Here is a 25,972-nt window from a genome sequence, read left to right on the forward strand (position 1 = left end):
GACCTGGCTGGGCCACTATCAGAGCAAGTGTGCACAGGTTATGTAACCTCTTTGAGCCTCACTTTCCTCACCTGCAAAACTGGGATAGAACATCTACCTGCCTTACACAGAGGACTATGCTAAGAGAAAAAGGGACAATGTGGATGAAAATACCCCTTGCAGTTTCCAATCCATAGTACACAGGCAATAAATGCTTGTTTAAAAAGGTGTCACCTGGCTGGGTGCGGTTGCTCACACCTGTAATCCCAGCACTTTGGGAGGCCAAGGTGGGTGGATTGCTTGAGGCCAGGAGTTCGAGACCAGCCTGGCCAACATGGTGAAACCCCATCTCTACTAAAGATATGGAAATTAGCTGGGCGTGATGGTGCGCACCTGTAATCCCAGCTACTCGGGAGGCTGAGGCACGAGAACTGCTTGAACCAGGGAGGTGGAAGTTGCAGTGAGCTGAGGGCTGTCACCACTGTACTCCAGCCTGTGTGACAGAGCGAGACTCTGTCTAAAAAAATTAAAAAAATTAAAAAAAGTGTCCCCTGGCTGGAAAGGTCCTCCCTCCCATCTCACCTCTCTGGCTACCTTCACATTACACTGCCCTGCTAGGAAAAGAAGTCAGTCCCTTGTGCTCCGGCCTCTACACACTATGTGGCAAAAGATAAAATGGTCCCCAGTCTTCCCTTCCATAAGCAAAAGATCTTCAGGGCTTCCTCTGCTCCATCCCAAGCAAGATCTCGGGGCATCTTCCTCCCTTCTGGGCCCCCTCACCACCAGGAGTGGGGGCCAGGAACACCATACCATCTAGCTGGAAGCAATACATCAGTGTCCCCGTCCCCAGGAGCTGGCAAGACCAATAGCAGAGCCTTGCCTCCCAGTCCTCTCAGTTGTCAATCAAAGCCCAAGGATCCAATGGGACCTGAACCCTTGTCCCCTACTGCTCTGTAGGTCAGGGTGCTTACCCTCCTCAAATCAGTCCTGGAAGTCTTAGTCCAAGCTTCTTTATAATCTCAACTTTCTTTCTGAACTTTCCCCTCATTCCCAGCCCTACCATGACACCAGGACCACCCAGCAGTCTCCAGGTGAAGCTGCATTTTTGGAAGCAGGCTAACCCGCCAAAAATCAATTTGACGAATGGCAAATACACTGAACATCAATTTGAAATAAAATCAATTTGGAACCTTTCAAATTGCATTTTATATTTTGTCAAATTTTAACCACACTTAAATTTCTTTCTCCAAGTCCTCAAATTTCAGGTTAGTCTTAATTTTGTGGTTCTGACAATTAAAAATTTAAGTTCTATCTTTCTCATTCAAAGGAATTTTTTCAACCGCTTTTGAGTGGCCTATTTCTTTTAAATATAGTTTTGGTATTTGGGGGGTTTTTTAATATTTAGGGTTTTTACCATTCTCATACAAAATTCCCACAATGATGAGTTGGGTTTAATTTTGTATTTGTAACCATTAAAAACCAAATTTGAGGCATTTCATATTGATGTGATTAACCTAAATCTTTCCTCAGCATTTTTTATTTGATGGTATAGAGAATGGACACAGGATTTGAAGCACCCATCATAAGCTAAACTTTTGTTTACTGATTATGAAATATACTTTTCTCACCATAAGAAGTCCACATCAACTCATGACCCTTAGCTTCCCAAAAACTGAATATATCTTAAAATATAGCTATGAAGACCATTTGCAAAAATCTTCAAAAGCCATGAAAACCATTAAATGTGAATTTCTAAAACCATGAAAAATAATTCAAAGACTTAGTTTGGGTAAATCAATGCATTTTGTAAAATCAGTGACTTTGTTATTTAGCATCCTAATTTTGAAAGAAGTGGCTATTGGGCAGCTCATGGATGGCTGGGGGCCTCCTTTCTCCTCATCATTTCTGCCCCATCTGTCCTCCTGGGAAGTTCATGTCATCAGCTGCCCCTACTCCCCTGGAGGCTGTCACTCACCAACCCTGCCATTCCCCTCTCTCAGGAATGACCTCACACCTGGCTCACCATCTCCGGTTCATCCCTTCCTGGGCACCATTCCTAGAGGCTTCCACTCAACAGGGGCGGTCTGTCTGCACAACACTCTATCTGCCTCCAGTGATCTCCTCCTACCCTTAGCTCCCCACTGCCGTAGTCATATCCTTGACCTTGACCTTCATCAACATCCAAATCCCTGCTGAAAGGTTGACATCACATCCCAACCTCAAGCCACCCTCTCCTCACCTTCCAGCTCCCTCTCTGGAATTCCCACTCCAGCAAACCCTCAACCTCTCCCAGACCCTGACCCCCTGACCCAAACACTTGCTCTCCCTCATCCGTCCCCCTACCCTGTCCTCAATTCCTCCCTACCCAGCCTACACTTCCCAGCCTGCATGAAACCCCCTGAGCTCCTCAGCCCCTCTCCTCCTCTCTTCCTCCATCATAGTCACAAACCAATAAACCCAGTGAAACCCAGCCACCCCCACTCCATGCTGGCTCCTGAGCAGCCAAAGGTCACTAGGTAACACACACACACACACACACACACACACACACACACACACACACACACACACACACACACCAGCTGACTGGTCTCACTTTGAGGTCCCAATCTCAAGCTCCAAATGGCTTAAAGCAGCCATTTCTCACCTTCCCCTGTTTAAGCTGATTACCTTGTGTCTTGGTCTGTTCGGGCTGCTATAACAAATACCACAGACTGAGTGGCGTATAAATAAATCACAGAAATTTATTTCTCATGGTTCTCAAGGCTGCAAAGTCCAACATCGAGGTGCTGGTGGATTTGGTGTCTGGTGAGGACTCACTTGCTTGTTCACAGACAGCCATCTTCTGGCTGTGTCCTCACTTGTTAGAAGGGGCAAGTGAGCTCTCCAGGGTCTCCTTTAGAAGCACACTAATCCCATTCATAAGGGCTCCACTCTCATGTCCTAATCACCTCCCAAAGGCCCCACTTCCTAAAACCCTTGCCTTGGGGCTTAGGATTTCAACCTATAAATTTGTTGGGCAGCAGGACCAAATATTGAGACCATAGCACCTTAACTCATTATTTGATAAGAAAATAGATTTGGACAGAAATGCCCTCGCCTTGTCACCCACCAGTGACCAGTCTGTCTCACCTGGACATCCAGCTCTGCCTTCTCTCTGTTAGAAGGACCCAGCTCCAGCCTCGCCAAAGGCTGCCCTGCCATGCGTGCTGGTGCACGCCACATGGACCCCATCCCTCCTCACTTATTGAAGACATCACTCCTGAAATCGCCCCTTCCTGCTTACATCCTTCAATTCCACCCTCTCTTGGGACCTTTCCCAACAGGTACAAATGTGCCACCATCATTGCCTTTCTCAAGACAGAACAAAACCAAAAGCAAAGCCTTCCCTTGACCACTACCCAGCCCCCTATTTCACTACTCCCCTTCCTAGCAAAGCTTGAAAGAGTAGATTTCTGGTTGCTGATTTTACCTTCTCCCTTCACATTTTCTCCTCCATCCTCCTCACGTCAACATTCCAACCTCACCCTCCAAGAAGAATATTCTGGCAAGATCATGGGTGACCTCCATGTCACTGAATCAGAAAGTCACTTCTCTAAACTTCACTGGCTTGACTTCTGGGCTGCATCTGACCAGGCTAACCACTTCCTCTTTCTTTCTTTTTCTTTCTTTTTATTTTTTATTTATTTATTTTTTTTGAGACATAGTCTTACTCTGTCACCCACACTGGAGTGCAGTGGCATGATCACAGCTCACTGCCACCTTGACCTCACGGGCTCAAGCAATCCTCCCACCTCAGCCTCCTGGGTAGCCAGGACCACCCGCATGTGCCACCATGCCTGCCAGTTTTTGTGTATTTTGTAGAGGTGGGGTTTTGCTATGTTGCTCAGGCTAGTCTCGAACTCCTGGACTCAAGAGATCCACCCGCCTCAGCCTTCCAAAGTGCTGGGATTATAGGTGTGAGCCACTACACCTGACCCACTTCCCCTTTCTTGACACTTCTACTTGACTTGGCTTTTCTGACACAGCTGACTGATTTCTCTCTCCCTCTCTGGCCCTAGTCTCAGCTGCCTTTGCTAGCTCTTCCTCCTCTACTTGGTGAGACCCAGCCTCACTCTCCTGACTATATACCCTCCCTCCATGACCTCATGGTTCCGTGGCTTTAAACACTGTCTATATGCTAATCACTCTCAATCCATGTATCAACCCTGACCTCTCCCCAGAATTCCAGGCCTACATCTAACTGTGTCCTTGGCACTTCCGGGGGGAGATCTAATTGGCAACTCCACCCTAAAATGGCCAATACAGAACTCTTAATTTCTGCCCACTGAACTTCCCAATCTGTTCCTCCTCTCATCTTCTCCTTCCTAGTAAATGGCACAAGCAGCTTCACTGTTGTTCAAGTACAAAATATCGAGTTGTCCATAAATTCATCCCACTTCCTTTCAACCCCACCTCCAAAATATATTCCCAGCCCATGCATCCTCTCCATCTCACCTATGACCGTCTGCAGCAACCTCCTAACTGATCTCCCTGGCTCCACTCTGCTCTGTGCCCAGCCCCATGATCCATCCTCCACAGTGCAAGAGTCATCTTTTCAAACACATAGATCATACTGTGCTAGTCAACCGCCTCAATGCCTCCAGTGGTTTCTCATCACTCTTAAAATAAAAGGTTCCAGCCACATGTGCTTCCCTGGGTCCCACCCTCCACGTGCAGGACCCCACCCAGGCCTTTCGCTAGCTGTTCCATCTGCCATTTCCCTCATCTTCCCACTGCTGGATCCTTCCTGTGAGTCAGATTTTGTGGTTCCCAGTCACCTCTGTCCCATCATCCTATTTTAATTCTCAGCTTGGCATTCATCACTATCTCACATGTCTTGTTAATTTGTTTGTTGGCTTGTTTTCTATTTTTCTCTGTCTCCAGCTAATAGAAGAACATAAACTCCATACGAGCAGCACCCGCCCATGTTGTTCGCTGATGTATCCTCAGCACCTCGAACAAGGCATGGCCCGCAGAGGGTGCTCAGTGAGTTATCTGGGGATAAATTCACACACCTTCCCTCTGAGCCTAAGCTCCCCGAGTTAGCGCGGAAGCCTCCAGTCGCAGGACGCCCCAAACACACGAACCAAGTGCAGTCCACACATTCCTGTTACTGATCAGGCAAAGATGGCCTCCCTTTTTCTAATGCCCCTCCCCCTTGAGCCCCTCTTTCCATGGCTCCCCTAAGAGGATGAACAGGGGCCTGGGGGGTCATTCCCCTGATGGTCGGAGCTGAGACTGTTCTGAGCCGCTCTGGCCCCTCCCTCCCTGTCCCTCCTTCCGTCCTGTCCCTTCAGACAGAAGGCCACTGCCAAAGACCCACACACACAAACCGCCCACCCACACGCTCCACACACCTCATGCACATCACACCTATGCACACCCTGTCCCACACACACCCGCACACGTACATCACCCCACATCCACACACACGCTAACACATACCTACACACACAAACACCTACACACACTCCACCACCGACACACATACATTACCTCATACACTTACTACATACCACACACAACCTACATACACCAGCACATATATTACACACACTGCCATGCACAAAACCACCACACACGCATCACAGGCACCCCATACACTATCTCACACACACCCCACACACACCACCATACATCACATACACACACACCACCTCACACCACCACACACATGCATCACATATACACACACCACCACAAACACCCACACATCACCGCCTACACATATCCACCATGCCCAAACACACACACACACCACCTCACACACATCACATACACACACCACCACCACATACACACACACCACTGCCTATACATATCTACCGCCTCCACACACACACCCCACCTCTCTCACACACACACATCCTACCATGCATATGCCATGCGTACTTACACTCTCCACACACCAGGCACACACACGTGTTCCCGTCACACAATGACCCCTCTCCCGCTGTTCCTCACCGTGCACGGGGGTTACAGGAGCGTGCAGGCATGGGTGGGAGGGGAATGCCCAGGGCACGTGCTCACAACCTGTTTTCTGAGCCGGAGTGATTGCAGTTGATGGCGAAGCCAGGGCGTGCTCAGGGAGCCCGGAGCCCCACCAGCGCCATCTCAAGAGCAGCACAGAGCAGGGGCGTCCGGCCAAGAGCCGCCCCACACCCCAGCCACTGGCAGAGCCTGCCTCACACACGGAAGGAGAAGCAGGCAGGTGGCTCCCTGGAAGATGTTATTTGGAGGGTACCCAGAAAATACCTTCATCCAAAAAAATCTCACTTCAACCACAGCACCTGAAATACCACCATGAAAGAGGCTTTGGTTGTGGGAGGGGGCACTAAATTTTGTTCCCTCCTCGTCTTTTTCATAGCAATTTCTTCCTTGGACACAAAGGCAACCACAGATGAAGTCACCAACACCCTGCTCACACCTTAGTGCCAGCAAATCCTTCTACCGACTGACAAGAGCCTGAGGTCACTGGCGTTGACAGAGAGAGAGAGAGAGAGCAGATGAAAACAGAAGAGGGAAAATGTCGATCCCTCCAGCTCCGCCACCTGCGGAGAGGGAAGCTGCCTTCCTCCTGGCGGCCCCAAGCGCCGTGAGAGTCACTGGGTCACCTCTCTCCACCTCCTGACAGTCCACCTCTCCTCGTCTCCATAGCCCCCACTCTCTTGCACCCCACACCTGCTCCTTGGCCATCAGCTGAATTCTCCCTGAAAGGGGAGGTGTCGGAGGTGACAGAGCTGCAGCTAAAGCCCAATTTTCGTTGACACTCAGAGTCTCTGACAGCTGTTAGAAGAAGAATGTGATTTTGAAATTTAAATAACATGCTTCTGCATTCGGCTCAGGGAGACAACCTGAGGATAAGCAGTTTATCGCCCGAGCCACCATGAAGGGGGCAGGGAGAGCTGCTGCTGTTCTTCCAGTTCTTCCCTGCCCTCAGCCCCCTGTGCCCCCGCCTCATCACAGGGCGGCCTCGGAAGGGGGTCCCTGAGAGGCACCAGCCCGACCTGCTGAAACATTAAAGCCTCACCGTCTATTCTTTTGCTCAGCAGCCCAAGGAGAGCAGGGGGTGCCTGCACAAAGGCTGGGTCTCCTGCCTCCGGGCCTGGGGTGCACAGAGGGAGCCGACCCAGGGAAGGCAAGGGGCTTCCCTAGACACCGGCCGAGCAAAGCCGGGCCCAATCCTCCCACAGCCCCCACCAAGGCCACAGGGGTGTCTTCCTGGGAACTGACTTTTGAGCCCAGGGATAAGTCTCTCCCCACACCAAGGACAGACCAGCTCCTCCCTAGGGACCCGAGACCCCTAATCAGGCAGTCATCCTGAGCTCTGTCATGGAGAAGTCCTGGGCTGGAGCACCCCAGAGAGGCCACTGTCCTGTCTGCCACAATGATCCCTGTTCACCGTCCCCTGAGCCCCCAGGCTCAAAAGACTTGAGGTTCCTTCATCACCCCAGGCTTAGCCAGGCCTCCCAGCCATGATGCCACCAGGAACATCATTCCCACATCGCACTTCCTCCTCTTCCAAGACTTCCTCAATTTCCCCAGGCATTGCTGGTTGCTGCCTCCCCTGAACTCTTGGGGCAGCACTTGGTCTACATTGCTACTGAAAACAAGCCACTTAGGGAGTGCCTAAATGAGTATCTACCTGTTGCACCACACAGTGAGGACACAGGTCTGATTCTCTTACAGCAGTGGTTGACCGTCTCCGGAACACACAGAGCACTCATTATTTACTGAACAAAACATGCTCCTCCGAAGTCTGGCCCCAGCCCCGCCCCAGCCCCGCCCCTGCCCTGCCCCTTCCATGATCGATTCCTGCACACCACGGCCAGGATCCACCCCTTCTCAATGCCCCAGATACTCCTAAGATGTCACACACATGTGACACCTCACAATTGCTTAGCACCTCCTGCAAAGCCATCAGCTCCCTCCAGTCAGCGAACGGTGATACCCTTCACCAGCACCTAGGGTGCTCCTGTGCCCTGGCACGCTGCATGCCAGTGCTTGCAGGGCAGCTGGACTGCTCCACCTTACAGATAAGAAACATGAGGTTCAGGGGGTCTAGTGACCCTGAGCTCCCACAGTAGGGTAAGGCCAGGATTCAAAACGAGGACTAGCCGGCCTCAAAGTTCACATTCCAGCCGTGATGCCAGGATCCTCGGGGGCCATGTATTAGATACAAAGCACAGTGTCACACACACACGCAGAGGGTGATGGCCACACAGGACACAGAGACCAACACGTACAATCGCACACATGCCCTCAATACGTGGCAGTGAGCACCATGATAAAGGACAAAGTGCTGTGGCACCAGGGGCCGGTGGTGGTTACCTCTCAGAGGCCGTATGCAAGGCTTCTTGGCAAGGGGTAGCGTTTGAGTGCTATTTCCCTCCTCTCCTGAGCCCATCCTCCAAGAAGGACCACAGGAGCATCCAATGAGAACATCATTGGCCCTCTCCAGGCTCCAACCAAGCAAGATGGCCCACCCCAGATGCATGCTGGCCAACCACGGTAGACAATGCCATCTCTTCTACCTTCAGTTCACAAAGGCCACTGAGGCCAGGCCGCTCACCAGCCTCTATCTGTCCCTGTCACAGCATAGTACATGATGGCCGTCCCCACCCAAGACTCCCTCTGAGCTTCAGGGACCCACAGCTCTCTGGAAATCACCTGATCACCTCTACTCCAGTCACCACCAAGCACTATCCCAGCGTGAAAGGTGGCCTCGAATCAGCAAAGGCACACACAGTTTCTAGAATGCCGGGTTCTAGGCTGGCCCAGCCACAACCTGCCATCGAACCTTGGAGAAATCAGTCCATACGAATGTTTTAAAAGCTAACCTGGCTTAGTGCAGCATGCCAGGCTCAGGCCAAGCACTCACCTGCACTATCTCATTTAGTCTTAACAAAAATCCTCAGAGGTAGGTGTTGCCATTGGCTCCAGGCTGGGGGAGAGGACAGGATTGGGGCTTAGAGGAGAAGCGCTTCAGAGGTGGGACAGGGATTGGAATCCCATCAACATGTGTGCCTTCCCTCTGGGCCTCAGTTTCCCCTTCTGTCAGGTGAAGGAGTGGGCCTCCATGATCCCTAAGTTCCCTTCCAGCTTCAGAAAGGATGCCCCATGCCCAAGCCTCTAGCCACACTTGCACGGCATGGCCAGACCCCAGAGCCCCTGCCCCTCACCCAGGATGCAGACACAGTGCCTGATGACAGCCAAGGCCATCTGCCCACCACTTTTCCCTGTCCTTTAGGCATGGGCCCAGTGGCGGTGAGGATGCCTCTGCCCAACCCGCCCAGTCCTCTTCATCACCACTTTGATGTCCACCCACTTCTCTCTAGCCCCACAAGTCCACACCCCTGCTGGCTCCACACCACCCTTCCAGGTCCTCCTTCCCTCCGCAATCTCTCTTCCCCACCTTGGTTCCACCCTCTCCTGCCTCCCCAGGTGAAACCAGCTGGGATTCGGCATTCACAGGGTCATGGAGCCTGGGGATGAGGAGGATGCTCCACTTCAGCTCCTCAACCCCTGCATCCAACTAAACAACCTCCTGCCTCCACTGAGCACCCCAGGCAGACAGAGGATGACCCACTGCGCCAAGGCTGGCTCAGTCCCTGATGCGCCGTGGGCACTGTGCCAACATCCATTCCCACCGAACCCTCTTAGGGCATCACATGTCCATCTTACACACATAGGCACCACAGCTCAAAAAGGCCACAGTGAGCCCCAAGATCACACACCCCTAAAAAGCCGAGTCAGGATTTGAACCCAGGACCATCTGGCTCAAGGCCCGTGCTCTTCCAGGCACCTCCCTAAATACTGTCTCACACTTTCAAGGGCAGTTTGAATTGCTAGAAACAGGACAAAACTCACTTCCTCTCCATGAAATCTCTTCCCACATAGAAGGGGAGGGAAGGATATGTGGACACGTCCAACATCACTGTCGCTGTGACTCAGGACACAGCCACACTGCTCCCTCCTTCGCCCTGGACTCAGGACTCATTGACCCACTGCTGAGCCCAGGGCCTGTCAGGCAGCACTGGGCAGAGAGGAGGGAAGAAGCTGCCCTTCCCCAAGGCTTCTGGACATTGGAGGGTGTTGCAGGAATCCTGGCAGCTTCTTTGCAACAGAATCCCAGTACGACTTTCCGAGAACCCCAACAGAAAGAGATGAAGAAGAATACACGTTCCAGGAGGCCCCTATAACAGGGCCCTGAATTCTCAGACAGGAGCTGGTAAACAGATAGTAGCAACTGAGTCCCAAAGACACAGGAGCATCCTCCCTGGTGTCCCACCTGGAGGTAGTACAACCCAGAAGCAGCCACCAAGACTCCATGCCTCCCTCCCTACCCACAGTCTTTCCCCACAGAGAAGTGAAGGGGGCAGCACGCAGGCAATATGAGTTGGGTGGGGAGGGGCTTCCCACGGGATTTCATGCAGTCCTATGGGGTGGCAGCCTTTTAATGCCAAAGCTCTAGTGCAGGTCTTGGGATACTCACAACAAGACTTTGCAGCCAGCGTGCGACACACAGGTGGGGGATACATGTGCCCGGATATTGACAAGCAGGAGGCTCGTGATGGCCTGAGCATTAAGCTGGTCTGCTCACCCTGCCGCATCACCATTTTCTGTGTGCCTTGATGGGACAAAGGTTGGGAAGCACTGCTCCAAGCTCATGTCCTCATTCAGACAGAAGATCTGGCACATGAAATGAGCCTACCCAAGATCCTACAGGTGATCTGTGGTGGGGACTGCATTGGAACCGCCTCCCAGCTCCTGTTCTCACCTTCTTTCTGCTGAGCTCCTCACCATGGCCAGTTTGGTTTCTTTTCTTTGTTTTGGGAGGTTTTTTTGAGACAGGGTCTCACTCTTATCGACCAGGCTGGAGTGCAGTGGTGTCATTATGGCTCACTGCAGCTTCGAACCCTTGGGCTCAAGCAATCCTCCCACCTTGGCCTCCAAAAGTGCTGAAATTACAGGCAAGCGTGAGCCACTGTGCCCAGCCCCAGCTTGGTTTCTTGGTAGCAGGGCCGGGGCCTCCCTACTCAACTATGTGCCCAAGTCTCCCCAGACACAGCTGCCTACTCACCTAACCCTAACGCTTCTCTGGGTGGAGCAGAGTCAACAGAGGCAATGAGGAGGGACCGGCACAGTCCCCAAAGCCCAGCCCTCATGGCAGGGAGTGGTCCCTGGAGCACAGAAACCCAGAGTTTGCGTGGGGCCCAGTTATCTCTGGGCAGCAGGTAAAAGGGGGCTGATTCGGTGAGCTGCAGACCTAGTAACTTCCTCATTTGTCTTGTCAACATCCTGTCCCACAGAGTGTCAAGTCCATTAGGTAAAGATTTTCTGCTAGGAAGATACTTAAGCATGAGTCCAGGGAGCAGAAGGGGCTTGGGCTAAGGCGAGGATCTCTACGCTTCAACATCCAGGAGCAAGTCAAAGCTATTTATTACTGGAGGGCAGCCCAGTGTCACCTGTGCACGCAGTAGTAATCTGCCGGTACCTGAGCTTCACACAGAGTAGAATGTGGGTGCATCTGGCGGCCACCAGGGTGTGCCCACCATAGCATCCACAGGCCAATGGCATCCTCAACCTGCTTCTGAGCCCCAGAGCACTGTCTCAGAAGGAATGGTCCCAAGTGGATTTCTATGCAAAACTCATCAGGAAATGTGAGAATCAGAATGCCTGTGCGGGAAGGACTCTCAGCCCCATCCAGTCCAGCCCTTGGCCAAGACTTACCGTAGAGCTGCCATGGTGCCCACAGGCAGTGCCAGCATGGGAGCTGCTCTGAGCTCAGAGCCTCTGTATGACCCCACTGGGGGTTATGATGCTGACAGCCCAGCGCAAGGTGCTCAACACAGCTGACTTTGAGGTCTCCGCTCCATTCACCACCACCCCAACCACCGCCAGTGCCCAAGGCCACACCCAGATGGCCACCCACTGGCCAGTGCCTCCCTTCCTGGGCATCCAAGATTTCTCCCACTAGGGACACGTGTATCATCCCTGTTTCAATCTCCTAGAGCGTGCTTTCTCCACGGGAAGGACGGGCGTCACCTCAAGGGAGCAAAAGCTGGTTCTTGGGTGGACAAAAAGAGAAAGAAAAAGGAGATCTTACAATGGTTTATGGTCCTCCAAAACTCAAACCTTCAAGACAAAATGTTATTCCTTGGTATTTAATTTCTCTAGTTAGGAAGAATTATTTTTTCTCCTTGGAAAACAATAATGGAAAAAAAAAGAATGGTTGAGAAACATGGTCCTAGAGAGTTCTTTATTTGAAAGGGCTTAGGTTCTCACTGGAAATGCTTTCAGCTCACAGTTTACAGCAGTGCTTCTCAACTGGCAGTGACTGTGCCCCCCAGGGGACATCTGGCCCTGTCTGGGGACATCTTTGTTGTCACAGCTTGCAAGAGCGCGGCTGGCATCCAGTGGGGCCGGGGACATTGCTGAACATCCTCAGACTCACAGGACGGCTCCTCCCACAAGAAAGAATTAACCAGCCCAAAATGTCAATAGTGCTGCTGTTGAAAACCCCGCTTTAGAGCCACAGAAACTCCAGAACATTTCAGACTGCCACAAAACTGCATGTAAACGAGATTTCCTGTGCTCAAAGATCCCTGAGAACAAGCCCCACTCTGGCCACCCCTGGAGCATCAATCTCCAGCAATCCCCTAGAGGAGCTCACCCCCCACCCCCACAGAGCACTCCCAAGACCAGAACCCCCTCCCCAGTGCCCAGGCAGGGTGGGCTGCCCTGGGCCCAGTGTCTCCCAGATGCCAGAGAGAACAAAGCCGAGAAGAAAGACCCCCAGAGCTTTACCTGGTGCCTACATGTGGAGCCTGGCAGACAAAGCTAGAACCCAATGGAGACGGTATCACTTCCCAAGGAGGATGGCACAGGGGGTGGCCTGAGGACCAGAGTGGCTCCTGCAGACACCTCCCTTCATGTGGTTCAAGAAGAGCCCTCAAGAGAGAGGGAAAACCCAGGGCAGAACAGATCTTATAGGACCAGTAATAACAAGCCACAGCTGATGCTGACTGATGCGGCGTGCTGAGCACTTTACCACCCACTGACCCACTTAGACCTCGCAGCAATCCAATGAGGTCGGTACGGTACTCCCCCATCACAGCTGAGGAAACTGAGGCCCAGACAGGTTAAGCAACTTGACAAAGTGGAAGAGCTCCAAAGCAGGAGAGCCAGGGAACTGGAAAGAGGGAACAAGGGTAAGATAGAAGGGTGACACCAGGTTCCAGATTCAAGCCCTACTCCATGACAGCCACCTGGCCAGGCAATTTCCACCAACGCCTTGCTCCATAGAAGCACCCAGGGAGGTGGGCATCGTGTTCTTTACAGAGGAGGAACTGAGGCTCAGAACCGTTGAGGGACGAGCTGATGGGCAGCAGGGCCATCATCGGACGCCAGGATGCCTGTCCAAGCCCAGAGCTCCATCTGCCATGCCACAGGGACGAGAGGAGAACGGGCCAAGTCCCAGTGCGAGCTCACTTACCTGAGAAGATTGAAGCAAGCCTGAAGATGTCCGAGAGGCGGGAGGTCACCGGCTCATAGGGGGAGGCTTCGTAGAACTCCTCACCTGGAAGACAGAACAGGCATCAGATGCGGGCTCCTCCGGGCCAGAGCGCTGCCGGCACTTAGCAAATCTGCCGGAGGAAAGCTCTCTACCAGGGGAAAGCTCGTGCCACCCAAAGGATAAGAGACAGGGCAGCCCTTCCCAAAGTGAAGAGTGCAGGACCAGGGCACATTAGCAACGAAATGTTTAGCATTTCATCTGGGCAGGTCTGTCTCCCCAACTAGAGGAGAAGCTCCCTGACAGCAGCTCAGAACTGCCTGACGCTTCTCTCTCGTGACCACCCTGCATGGCCAGCCCCCTTGGAAGGACTTGCAGGTGCATCTGGGGGAAGTGGAGCAATGCTGGCCCACGTAAGGCCAGGTATCAATTGCAGGATTTGAAGCCAGAATGCTCTCCACAATCATGCCTCATTTCACAAGAGAGGGCTCTGAGGTGGCCCGGAGAGGTGAAGAAACCTGCCTGAGATCACACAGCTACTCCTGGAAGGGCCAGAGTTAGACTCTGCTGTCCTGGCCCTCCCACCAGCACCCTTTCCCATCACACCACGCCAGCTCCGCCCAGGTCACTGAGGAGGACAGAATTTCCTCTTTGCCCCCCATCGTGTCACCAGGAGAATCTTGCTGGAGGGGCTGAAGGTCTGCTCAGTGGGTGGGCTGATCCCCAGCTTCCATCTGCGTGGTCCCTCTCCTGCAGGGCCCTCCTGTTCTCCCCACCACCTGCAGGCTCCTTGGACCTTTCCTCGAGGCTTTGGGTGCCTTGGGGGCTCAGGAATGGAAAAGCAAGTGAATAACAGGAGATGGATGGCCCAGGGCTCCCCCAAAGACCCCACCACAGTGTCAGGAATCCCACCCTCCTCTGCTGAGGCCTCAGCGGGAAAGGAAATAGTCTCTTGAGACGTTATTGGTGAGGGGAAATTGATGGCTCACCACTCATCCTCTGTGTGTGTGTGTGTGTGTGTGTGTGTGTGTGTGTGTGTGTGTGTGTGTGTAGTGAAAAGCAGGGCACAGCCTCACAGACTCATTTCCCATCCAGGCAGGGCCTGGTGCCCAGGCAGGCACCCTCTGCCTAAGAGAGAGCACAGGTGGGGCAGCCTCTTCAGGGTTACCTGCAGCAAGGTATCATGGGCCTGGAAGAGGGGCTTTGCAACCCCACTGCATGTGGTCACCCAGAGGCTGGAACTGGAGACTCAACTAGCCCCCTGCAGGCTCACCGAGCAAGGAGGCTGCCTGTTATTTCCGGCAGACCCCCAAGAAATGGGGCAGCCCCAGAGGACAAGGAGGAAGCATATTCCCTGCATTAGGAACAGCCTCCACCTTTCACGTCACCTCCTAAAAGCAACCCTCATGCCCCGCAACACCCAGGACACACAGCAGGTGCCCAGCTGGAATTTGACAACAGCCTCATCCAGACGAGACTCTTTTTTTTTTTTTTTTTTGAGACAGAGTCTCACTCTCACCCAGGCTGGAGTACAGTGGCACGATCTTGGCTCACTGCTGCAACCTCTATCTCCTGGGTTCAAGCGATCCTCCCACCTCAGCCTCCCAAGTAGCTGGGATTACAGGCACGTGCCACCATGCCCAGCTAATTTTTGTATTTTTAGTAGAGATGGGGTTTCACCATGTTGGCCAGGCTGGTCTCAAACTCCTGACCTCAAGCGATCTGTGCACCTCAGCCTCCTAAAGTGCTGGGATTACAGGAGTGAGCCACCGCGCCCAGCCAAGACGCATTATTTACGGCCCATATCTGATCCCACCTTCTCCTTGGGGCCTTTGGGCCCCTGTCCAGCCTGGATGATCTCAATGTCCTCCACCCCACCTACTGGCACTTTAGACTCTCTTGAGAAACTCCTTGGGGTGGGGTTACCAGCCATTGCTATTTATTGAGGCCAAACAATATAGGAACTTAGGAAATCACTTTTACAATAAAAATAATGTTAGACTGCGTTTTCCAGGTGCCAGCACTGAAAGTGCTTTAGATATAGCTCATTTCATCCTCTTAACTACTCTATGAGATAGGCACTATTTTTCTCCCTGTTTGACTGATAAGGAGGAACAAGGAGCACAGAGACATTAAGTAGCTTGACCAAGGTCACACAGCTAACAAGCGACAGAGCCAGGGTTCACACCCAGGCAAAGCCCAAGTGCTTCACTGCTGTGAATACTGTCTCCCAAAATGCAGAGTGTTATCGGAACCAAGTCATTCCTAAATAAGTACTGTTGTTCCCCTTTTCCCAAGATCAGTCTTCTGTCCGCCAGATGGTGCCCCGGGGTGGTGTGGGGGCCTGTCCTTCCCTACTGCATCTAGCGCAGCCATGGGCCTAGGTATAGCTAGGCCAGTCTGATTAATGGGGTGGGGGTGGCAGGGTGGGGACAGCCTCTTCCGGAACTGATTTGGAGGGGCCCAGCCTCTTTAAGTCAACTTGTGTAGCCTGTTTCTGCCACAGAATTCACCAGTGAGAAATCCCGAGGTGTGAGCCACTGAAACCAGAGCCAGAATGTGAGATTCTGGGAATGGAAGAAGGCTTTGCTCTTCACCTTCGGACCAAAGAACCCTGAATTTCAGTGTCACCTTTGCAGAAGGCAAGAAACCTGGTCTCAAAGCCCCCATGCAGCCAAGAGTGGCAGCCCCCTGTGTAAAAACTGGTGGTGGTAATGGCAGTGAGGAAAACGGGGCCCAGGCCGTGGGATCGCCCCCAAGACAGTGAAAAGGGACCTGGATAAGGAGTCGGGGCCCTGGGACCCACTCTGGGTCCTGCCACGAGCTTGCTGTGTGCCCTGGGAGGCCATCTCACCCATCTATGCCTCAGTTTCCCTGCCAGATGGTAGGGGTGAGCCCGAATGATTGCCAGATCCTCTGCAGTTCAGACTCTAGAAGCTCAGCAGCCATGTCTTGCGGTCACATTCCCACCCCAGCCCTCTCTCCATCCTCCCCACTGCCGCCACGGGCTCTTTGCACCTGCTGTGCGCCTTGACTGCATACTGAGAGCTAAGTCCCAGGAAGGCGGAGCACAGCCCCATGGTAAATCACGCCCACCAGCAGGGGCCAAGGAGAGGCTGAGAATCGGAAGGAAAATCCAATCCTACACACATCGCTCCTCTCAGCGATTCTTGCCCTCTCCGCAGCCCCAGGCCTGCATCAGGTTATTAAATGTTATCAAGGAACAGGGAGGAAGGACTCGCAGCCTCCCTCAGGGAGACTGCTCAACAGGCCATGGACGCTTACCTCTCAGGTAGACCCCGCCACTCACAAGAACACTACCTGGAGGCCTCCTGGCTTCCCCTGGTCAGCCCTGGGCAGAAACTACCTCTGGGCTCCCAAGACCCAGGAGAAGGTAGAATTCCCCTACAGAGAAAAGATGCAGTCTTCTATGGAAGGAAAAAAGTAAGGGTGTATTTTCTAGGCAGGGCCCAGAGGAAAGGTCTCCCGACCTGTCTGCTGGCCAGCACAGGGAACACAGTTCCTACAGTGCTGTTACCTTCTGAGGCACACAGTAGGTGCTTAACAAATGGTTGTTGAATAAATGAATGAATAAACCATCTCAAGACTTAGAACCAGGCAGGACGCAGCGGCTTATGCCTATAATTCCAACACTTTTGGAGGCCAAAGTGGGAAGAGATTGCTTGAGGCCAGAAGTTTGAGGACAGCCTGGGCAATATAGCAAGACCCCACCTCCATAAAAAATAAATTAGCCAAGCGTAGTGGCACGTGCCTGTAGTCCTAGCTTCTCGGGAGGCTGAGGCAGAAGGGTCACTTCAGCCCAGAAACTTGAGGCTGCAGTGAGCTATGATCTTGCCACTGCACTCCAGCCTGCGATAACAGAGCAAGACTCCATCTCATTAAAAAATAAATAAATAAAAAGACTCAAGGCCAGGCACAAGCGGCCCACGCCTATCATCCCACCACTTTGGTAGGCCGAGACACAAGGATTGCTTGAGCTCCAGAGTTCAAGATCAGCCTGAGCAACATAGTAAGACCTCATCTCTACTTAAAAAAAAAAAAAAGCCAGTCATAGTAGCAGGCTCCAGTGGTCCCAGCTACACGGGAGGCTGAGGTGGGAGAATCATTTGAGCCCAGGAGGTAGAGGCTGCAGTGAGCTGTGATCATGCCACTGCCCTCTAGCCTAGGCAACAGAGTGAGACCCTGTCTCAAAAAACGAGATTTGGAACCAGAGAAGCCATCTGCAGTCAGGCACTCCCGATCAAGGGGCCTTGAAAACCACACAGCAGCATGCAGCTAAACGCACACAGCATCGTGCTCATTTCCCTGGGATCCCATCAGCACAGTCCTCCCGTGGCCTGATGCAGTGATACAGAGGGAGCCAGTGACATGGGAAGGGCTGTTGGTGCTAAAAGGCCCAAGTGCCCCCCCGGCTGTTCTGGGTGACATTTCTGTCCTGTTCTCTCCCCTGTCCACTCTGCAGCCCACCCGAACCCGCTGCCCAGTCTCCCTTGGGTGGAAACTGAAGGCTGCCAGAAAGAAGACAAGAAACACAACTACTCAGCTCAGGCATTGAGCGCTTTAATTATTTGTACGCTACAGAGTCCGGCTCTGGGTGAAGACAGCGCCTTATCTCCTGAAGAATAGAGTGCAGTACCCTCAGGACAGTATTCCTCCCTTTGCTCATGCTAGTTCTAGGAATCCAGGTTGCTAGGGAGAAGGCACCGCCTGATTCATGAGGAATACTTTGCTATTAATGATGGTAGTAATTATATGCATTTCTTATTCCCATATTTAGAACATATTCGAGCCATCTCTGACTGGTCAGGGATCCCCCTCTATCTGGCTTCGCACCTGCAGCCACTTCCTCCCTCCCTCCCAGCACCTGGAGGGAGCATTTGCTCCCCTGTTCGAAGGCTCATCCCCTGGCCCACTTTGTGCCCTGGACCCAGCCCCTCCCCTTCCCAAAGGCACCATTCCACAGAAGACCCTTCTGTCTTCTTCATGGCAACATCGCCATCACTACTGTCCGATGTTAGATTTTAAACTGCTCGATCCTCTCCCATCTTTTTTTTTTTTTTAAGCATCCTTTGTTCTCTCCTCTTTACACCAAAATTCTGGAAAGAGTCATCTGCATTCATCACTCCCAATCCCCCTGTTCCTGTCTGCTCCCTAGCCAGGCTCCTCCCTAGCCAGGCTCCTCCCTCCAGCAGGAGGGCCCGGGGAAAGGTCTCCTGCCCCATACGATGGCCGATGGCCGGCACGGGGAGCATGGCTAATCCAGTGTGTCACCCTCTGAGGCACACAGCAGGTGTCTAAGAAGCTAAGAGCCTCAGCCTCAGCTTACCCTAAGGCATCTGACCCTGTTGAGGGTCCTCTCCTCTGGGATGAACCCTACCTTGTTTTCCTGCTGTTCCTCCCACCTCTCCCCAGCACCTTCTCAGCTCCCTGCAGGCTCCCTTCCCCACATCCTTAAATACCATGGTCTCCGGGGTCTGTTACCGCCCTCCTCTCACTGCGGTCATGCACACCCCCTTGGCCCTGGTTTCTACCTGCAGGCTCATGTCCCTTCCTCAGTCTCGCTCAGACCCACTTCCTCCCTCGACTCTAGACCTGCACATCTGCAGGGTGTGGTCAATGAGAGCCATGGGCCCCAAAACAGATTCCCCATCCCCCTGCCCTCCCCTCTCCACTCTAAGACTGGCCTGATTCTTCTGAGGCCTCCATCATCTGCTCAGCTGCCTAAGACAGGAAACTGGGTGCCCTTCTTGACTCCTCCCTCCCCTCCCCTTCTCCTCTCCCATCAGTCACCAAGACCTGTGGATTCTCTCTTCTAAATAGCTCTCAGAGGGCCGGGGGCAGTGGCTCATACCTGTAAGCCCAGAACTTTGGGAAACCAAGGTGGGAGTACTGCTTGAGCCCGGGAGTTTGAGATAGGCCTGTGCAACATAACGAGACCCCATCTCTACCAAAAAAATATTTAAAAATTAGCTGGGTGTGGTAGCTCACTCCTGTAATCCCAACACTTAGGGAGGCCGAGGCGGGCCGATGGCTTGAGCCCAGGAGTTTGGGACCAGCCTGCGCAACCTAGTGAGACCCCAATAAAAATAATAAATACACAAATAAATAGCTCTTAGACCCATTTTTCCTTCCTTGCCACTGTCCTGGTTCCGCCACAACTGTTCCTGGCCTGTATCACAGCAGCAGCTTCTGGACAGTCCTCTAATCTACTCTCTCCACTGGAACCACAGAAGCATTTTGCTGAAGCACAGATCTGATCATCGCCCTTAAAACCCTTCAGGGATCCCTCCCTGTGCCCCTAATTCTCCTCCCCACTTCCACCACCACCCACGACACACCACCTGCCACCCACCACCACTCTAAGCCACTTGCAGCTCTGTAAACAGGTTCCATTCTCACAGTGGGCCTTTCCATGCTGTTCCCTCCACCTCCCACACTCTTCCTGCCTCCCTTCACCTATGTTCCATTTCGTGACTCTGACTCACCCTTCAGCCCCAGCTTGGAGCCTGTCTCTTCCAGGAAGACGCTTTAGATTTTACAGCAAAGACGTGGATGCCCCCTCCAAGCTGCTACCATCGCACCCTGTGTCTTCCCTCTCACAGCACTTACACCATCAAATGACAGAAGCCCCCTTATTTATCCGCACCTCCCCAGACTCGGCTTCAGGAGGGCAGAGGCTGCATCAGCTTGCCCTCAACTGTTCCTACAACACCTAGAGTGTAGCAGACAGTACGCTCTCAATAAACATGCATTCAATTAATAAATGAACATCTGGTTACAGTGGCCCACCTCCTAAACAGATGCAAATCCTCCACACCCAGGTCTGGAGGGGGAGGGGATGTGAAGGTGTGTTATTGGCGGGGGGACTTATAGGTTCTACTTTGTGACTCGGAGGCTGGTTTGCCAAGGGATGTGGGGCCTGCTGCCTGCACACTGCCCCAAGCCCTGTAGAAGGTGATAGGTCAGCCATGGGGTCCAGAAGCCACATGAAGGGCTGGTGTCCTGGAAGCAGGGAGGCAGGAGCCAGAAGGACAGAGTAGGGGCAGCCAGCTCTGGGATCAGCCCTGGGGCAGGGCAGCAGCCATAGCAGGGCAGCAGCCGTGGCAGCGGAAGTGGCTGGTTTCTCAGCCTGCACCCAGCCTGCCCCTTCTCTCTCCTGGTTCTCACTTCTCCATCTGCCTGGTCACTCTTGCCTCACCTTCTCTTGGAACCACTTCACACCGTCCTTGCTTGAATCACGTGGTCTTGCTCCTACCCAACCCCTGCTCACCTCCCCCACCCCACTCACCCCCCTTCCTCCAGCGCCTGTTCTCCTCCTCCCACCACCTCCCTCTCTCCTCCTCCAGCTGTTGCTTCTGCCTCCTCTTTGTCTCTCCTGGCCTTTTCCAAACAATGCCACCCTCCTAGGTGGGGCGGCGACTTCTCTGGGTTCTAGGTTCCCCTAGCAGGTAGACATAGAGAGCTGGCCAGTTTGCGCCACCACCTAGTCCTCCCTCCTGAACCCCTGGCCCGCCACACGTCCTCTCTGCCTGCGCCACACCCCCTCCCCTTGGGCAAGCCCCGCCCAGGCTTACCCTCGGTCAGCCCCAGGTGGATGCTCCAGTAGATCTGCAGACACTGCAGCTCCTTCTTCATGCCCCGCTTGCAGCGGCAGTCGTACAGCGGGCTCTCCTGCAAGACCTCCAAGGCCGCCTGGCACTCCTTGTTGGCCAGCATGGTGTTGCGGTCGCGGCCTGCCAGGCACTGCCGCAGAGTGCGGTAGCGAGAGCTGCAGTTGGATTCGGCGGCACACAGCTCATTGGCCCGGACACAGTCCACTGGGGGGCGCCAGCCGTGGAGCTCGGGGCCCTGCAGGGAGGAAGGGCTGGCCAAAGAGCGGAGGGTCTCGTCTGGGTGGTGGGGAGGGAAGACAAGCATGAATGACGGCCGCCACAATCTCCCACCCAAGATGCAGGCCTGGGGGCTTGGGCCCTGCTGGGAACGTCACACCCATTTCGCCAAAGCACACCAAGGCGACTCTGTGGGACAGCCCTCCTCATACCCCAGGGAGAACTCAGGCATCATCCTCCCCTGGATGTAGGAGCAAGTTTTCTCCCTTTGCACTCCATTCCTCCTCAGCAGCGGCCCTGGGCCTAGGAGCACAGCACAATAAAGCCAGGAAGGTCCCGGCTCAAGACCTCAGTCTAAGACGTCAGGAGCCCAGAGGAGAATGTCACAGCCTCAGCAGAGAGCTGGGGGCTGCATGGCTTGCTGGGGGGTGCAGGGAGTGGGGAACATCTCACTTGCATACCACCCAGGCCTCCTATAAACCCCAGCTCCAGCCAGAGGCCCATCCATGGCGCTGCACTAAACCTTGGATGCAGTGCGAAGTCATTTCGTTGTCATTGCCTGTTAGGACCTTATAGACACCATAGAGCCCAACCCCACATTTTACCCTAGGGAAACTGAGGCCCAAAGAAGGGTGATGACAACTCAAGGTCACACATAGCGGTGGAAACACCCCCTCCGATTCCCAGTGTACTCACTCTGACTCTCATTCTGACTTTACGACAAGACAGGGAGAGATGAGCCTAACTCTACCGTCCAGGCGAGCCCAGGAAGGAGGAGCTACCCCTTTCCCCCCTCACCCCTCCACACCTTCTAGTCCAACTTCACACCAGACGGAGACCTGAACTCTCCTCTTCCGAGAGACAAGTTCCGCCCCGGCCCCCTCCAATAGAAAATGCTTTTGGCAAGCCTGGGGAGCATCCATGCCCCCCGCGCCCCCTGCTCTCTCCTCCCCACTCTAGCTCTGCTTGCACCTGGCTATATCTTACGCTTCTCTTGCTGATGGCCTCCCAAGAGGTGTGTTTCTTCATCACCTTTTACCTCTTGTCTTTCAATGGCCTTGTTTTTTTCTCTCTCAGCTCCTCTCTTTCTTTCCTCTCCACCCTCCTCTGAAACTCCCTTCCCCTCTATCTCTTATTTTGTTCTTCCTTCCAAAAGCCAAATAATTGCAAAAGGGAAAAGCTCCCCTCCTCGGACCCCAGCCTTGCAAATGGAACCTTGCTCCTCCACCAATGTGCAATCCCCCATCAGGCCACCTTCCCATCCTGGCCCCCATGTCCACACCCACAGTGCCTCAGGAGGGAGGGGACAGGGAAAAAGAGAGGTAGGTGAACGGCAGGGACAGGCTCGCCTGATCCTTTCAAAGCCAAGCTCCTAAAATGGTTTCCTCCAGACACAGACATCGTCTTCCCAGTCCCCCTGTCCTCTGATAAGCCCCTAACTCGAGATCCTGCCACCAGGAAAAGCCCGCACCATGGCCCAGAGCCATGACTGCCCTTTCCTGGACCGAAAGAGTAATTTGGGAGGCTTCCTCGACTCCATCTCGCCTCAGAACATAATAAAATCCTAGGCCAGAAGTCCCCTCCTCAATACCGCAGAATTCCCCATCCCTACCCAGAACAGCCACTCTCAGGCCATCCCCCGGGAGGCCCTGCTCAGGGGAGCGCTACCGCAGGGAGACAGCGACACCTAAAGGCAGCGCGCTGCACAGCGGGCCTTCGCTCCCGAGAGCCCCCAGAGAACAGGAATCCATCCACTCCCGGTGGGACCAGCCAGGAGACCCATCCCTAGGGGACAACAGAGAAGAACAGCAGGGATGGGCCTGGGGTACAGAAGGCTTCTTCGGGGCCCAGAGCAAAAGACGTGCCCTTCTCCCACTGACCAGACCTCTGCCACAGAACAGGAAGGCTGATGGATGTGGCCAGGCTGAGACAAGACCAGAGAAGAAATCAGACCGGAGTTTGAGGCCCGGCACTGGCTGGAGAGCTGTCCTCCACACAAGCTGAGGCAGCGTCTTTCTTCCCCGGCTTCAGCAGATTCCTACCTCCCTGAGCAGGACCCGCGTACAGCCGGGCCCCCCAAGAGCAGCTGAGTTGACACGGCCCCGCCTGTACCTGCGGCCCCCAGCCAGCCCGTGGGAGCCTCTGGAAGAATATAACCCTGGGCCCTCCACTGACTTAACCACCCCGCCTCCCCATAGGCTAATGCCCTCCCACCTTGACTGAACTGAAGGCTGCACTGTCATGGGGGCCTGGAAATGGAACTTCCTGGCTTCCTTAGCCTTCTGTAGGCACAGAATTCACCGCGTGCTTAAAGGTCAGAAGATTAGCCCAGGGGATTCAGGGCATAAGGACGCTTTTTTTGCTTGTCCTACAGTTGGGCCTAGAGCCCCACAGGATGATCCTTACACAATCTTAGGGAGGCTCCCGTGCCAGAACTGAGGGCTTCCCCCATCCTGCCACCTGGCACGTGTGGCCAGGCAACAGACACACTCTGCGAAGGGCCGGGGCATCCATTCACCAAACCATCCTTGACTCTTCTAGTTCATTCCATGACCCCCAGAACCAATCAAGCCCAGCCAGAGAAAGGAATCCCTGCAGCCTGCAGCCTTTAGCTAAGAATCCTAAGAGAGTGAAGGGCAGGGGGTGTCCTGGTGATGTTTCCAAATCCTAAATTAGGAGAAAACTTTGATCCATCAAGACACAGGGAGTAGCTGCTAGAGACACAGGGGTAGAGGGGGGTGGAGAAGCGACACAGGGCTACAATTGCCCTACTGCATCCAACATCCCACCAGAGCTAGAATGTGTGCTAGAAAGTCAGTCGGAAGTGGCCCCCTCTGGCCAGCCCAACACCCCCACCCGAGTCACTTTCCCCTTCTCCTTCTCTCCCTGGGTCAGCACTGGAGGTCAAGATACTGGGCAAGAAAGGCCTCTCTCTCCACCATGGGTTATCCAGCCCAGACCTCACTCAGAATCTCAGTAGGGGCACACCAAAGGCCTTTGCCCCCAGCTGAAATTGCCCACCAAGTCTCAAGCCCCAGAAAAACCTCCCCCGACCCTCCACCCACCCACCCAGTGGGATTTTCAACCAGCTTCCTGCCAGGAAAAGGGCCCCAGGGCTGAAGTTTCCTAAACACCAACCCATCCCTTCCTTTCCACTGGCCTAACCCAAAGCCTTTCAGTATCTGTGGTCACTCCACTCAGCCCAGCTTTAGAAGGGGACTTCTCGAGGGAAGGAAACTGAAGGGCTGTGGAGCAAGGGGATGCTGAGCCTGCTGCTCTTCTGCTCTCACCCCCGCCTCTCAACACTCAGCCTCCAGGGTTGCAGACATTGGGTTGGGCCTCTCTGGTCATCTCCCATGCACACACATACACACCCACCACGAGCAGGAACCCCAGCCACTTCTGAAAAGGAGAAAGGTGGACTCCTTAGCCTGCCCGGCTGGAGAAAGCCTGCCTGCAATGACCAGGGGCCCACACTGCTCTTCTCCAGCCCCCGACCACAGATGGTGCCCACACCTGGGAGCCCTGCCCATGCTGGGGTATGCAGCTCAGCAGTAGGCAATCTGGCTGTTTTGCCTGAAATACAATTTTTTTTTCACCTTGGCCCTGATCATGCTTGGACCCAGAAGGCTGGGTTTTCAAGCTAGCAGTGGGAGAAAAAGGTCAGATTTTATAGTAGCCCCTTCAGAATGAGAGTCCACTTGCCAGGGTTGACAGGAAGGGCTTCGGGATCACAGCGGGCCCAGAGCAACTTCCAGCTTCCTAGAGGAGCCCCTCCCACCCCAGAGAGAAGCTGCCTCTGGCTGAGGGAGGTAGGACCTCTGAGGCCACACCCTAGAGCAGGGACTTGCCCCCTTGGGGACTCGCACCTGGCGGGAAGCAGAGGGGACAGGCAGAGAGTCCAGAGCCTGTGTGGACACCCAATGACTCCGGTCCCCTATCCTAGTCTGGCGAGCACTTCTTAGACCACGCACATCCTCCTGTAACCAGCTCCTACCTCCCCACTCGTGGCCTTCCCAGATCCCCTACTGCAGGAGGGAGAGGGTGAGATCATGACCCCGCTGGGCAGCCTGGCTCAACACTGGCTACACAGCAAGCCAAGGTGGTAGAACTACACCCTCACTGAAGCAGACGTGTGCTCCTTACAAACACACTCACACACACACACACATACACAGTAGTTACCCGGCTCCCTCTATGGGAGCGTCTACTCCCTGGCAGCAGCCCTGCCTGGGACTCCCGGTGGTGCACAGCCTTGCAAACAACCGCCTTTCCTCACCTCCCTCCGGAGATTGCCATTTCCCAAGCAGCTGCGATTTCACCTAGCTTTAAAGGGAGAGAGGAGCTGGGAATTCTGTGTGGAAAAGAAACTGCGTGGGGCTCAGTGGCGCCAGGCAGCCTCTCCTCCCTGTCTTGGAGGCGGCGGGGGGGGCAGTGGGGGGGGTTTGCAGAAGGAGCAGTGGTCTTTGTTCAGACCCGTTTTTCCTCCCTCGCCTCCCACCCTCTTCAACGGAGAAAGCAAACTTTGGCCTCCCTCCCGCCTCTTCCCACCAGCCACGGGGGTCCGCGGCCCCCAGAGGTGGAG

General features: G+C 54.0%; 1 protein-coding gene across 7 annotated transcripts in view, besides 2 other annotated features; it reads right to left on the bottom strand.

Moving 5' to 3' along the window:
• Nucleotides 1-25,972, bottom strand: part of GFRA2 (GDNF family receptor alpha 2) — a 121,948-nt gene that overhangs the window by 71,055 nt on the left and 24,921 nt on the right. For 4 of the 7 annotated variants that reach the window (XM_047421687.1, XM_006716327.4, XM_011544484.3 and 1 more), the window contains 2 exons: nt 21,133-21,447; nt 13,520-13,603 (listed from right to left, as the gene is read on the bottom strand). The exons of 1 other annotated variant lie outside the window; for it this stretch is intronic. In XM_047421687.1, the coding sequence (XP_047277643.1) occupies nt 13,520-13,603; nt 21,133-21,447 (399 nt within the window). Of the gene's footprint in view, nt 1-13,519; nt 13,604-21,132; nt 21,448-25,666; nt 25,685-25,972 lie in introns of those variants that run through there. 2 more of the 7 variants (XM_024447127.2, NM_001165038.2) reach the window with 2 other exon arrangements.
• Nucleotides 6,632-7,622: an enhancer, noted in NCBI's record as "H3K4me1 hESC enhancer chr8:21625596-21626586 (GRCh37/hg19 assembly coordinates)". NCBI's record gives its function as "activates a minimal SCP1, AML or CMV promoter by ChIP-STARR-seq in primed H9 embryonic stem cells {active_cell/tissue: H9 hESC(primed)}" and the evidence as "EXISTENCE:reporter gene assay evidence [ECO:0000049][PMID:30033119]".
• Nucleotides 20,811-21,312: an enhancer, noted in NCBI's record as "H3K27ac-H3K4me1 hESC enhancer chr8:21639775-21640276 (GRCh37/hg19 assembly coordinates)". NCBI's record gives its function as "activates a minimal SCP1, AML or CMV promoter by ChIP-STARR-seq in naive H9 embryonic stem cells {active_cell/tissue: H9 hESC(naive)}" and the evidence as "EXISTENCE:reporter gene assay evidence [ECO:0000049][PMID:30033119]".

This window comes from Homo sapiens, chromosome 8, assembly GCF_000001405.40.
Source record: "Homo sapiens chromosome 8, GRCh38.p14 Primary Assembly".
Taxonomy (NCBI): domain Eukaryota; kingdom Metazoa; phylum Chordata; class Mammalia; order Primates; family Hominidae; genus Homo; species Homo sapiens.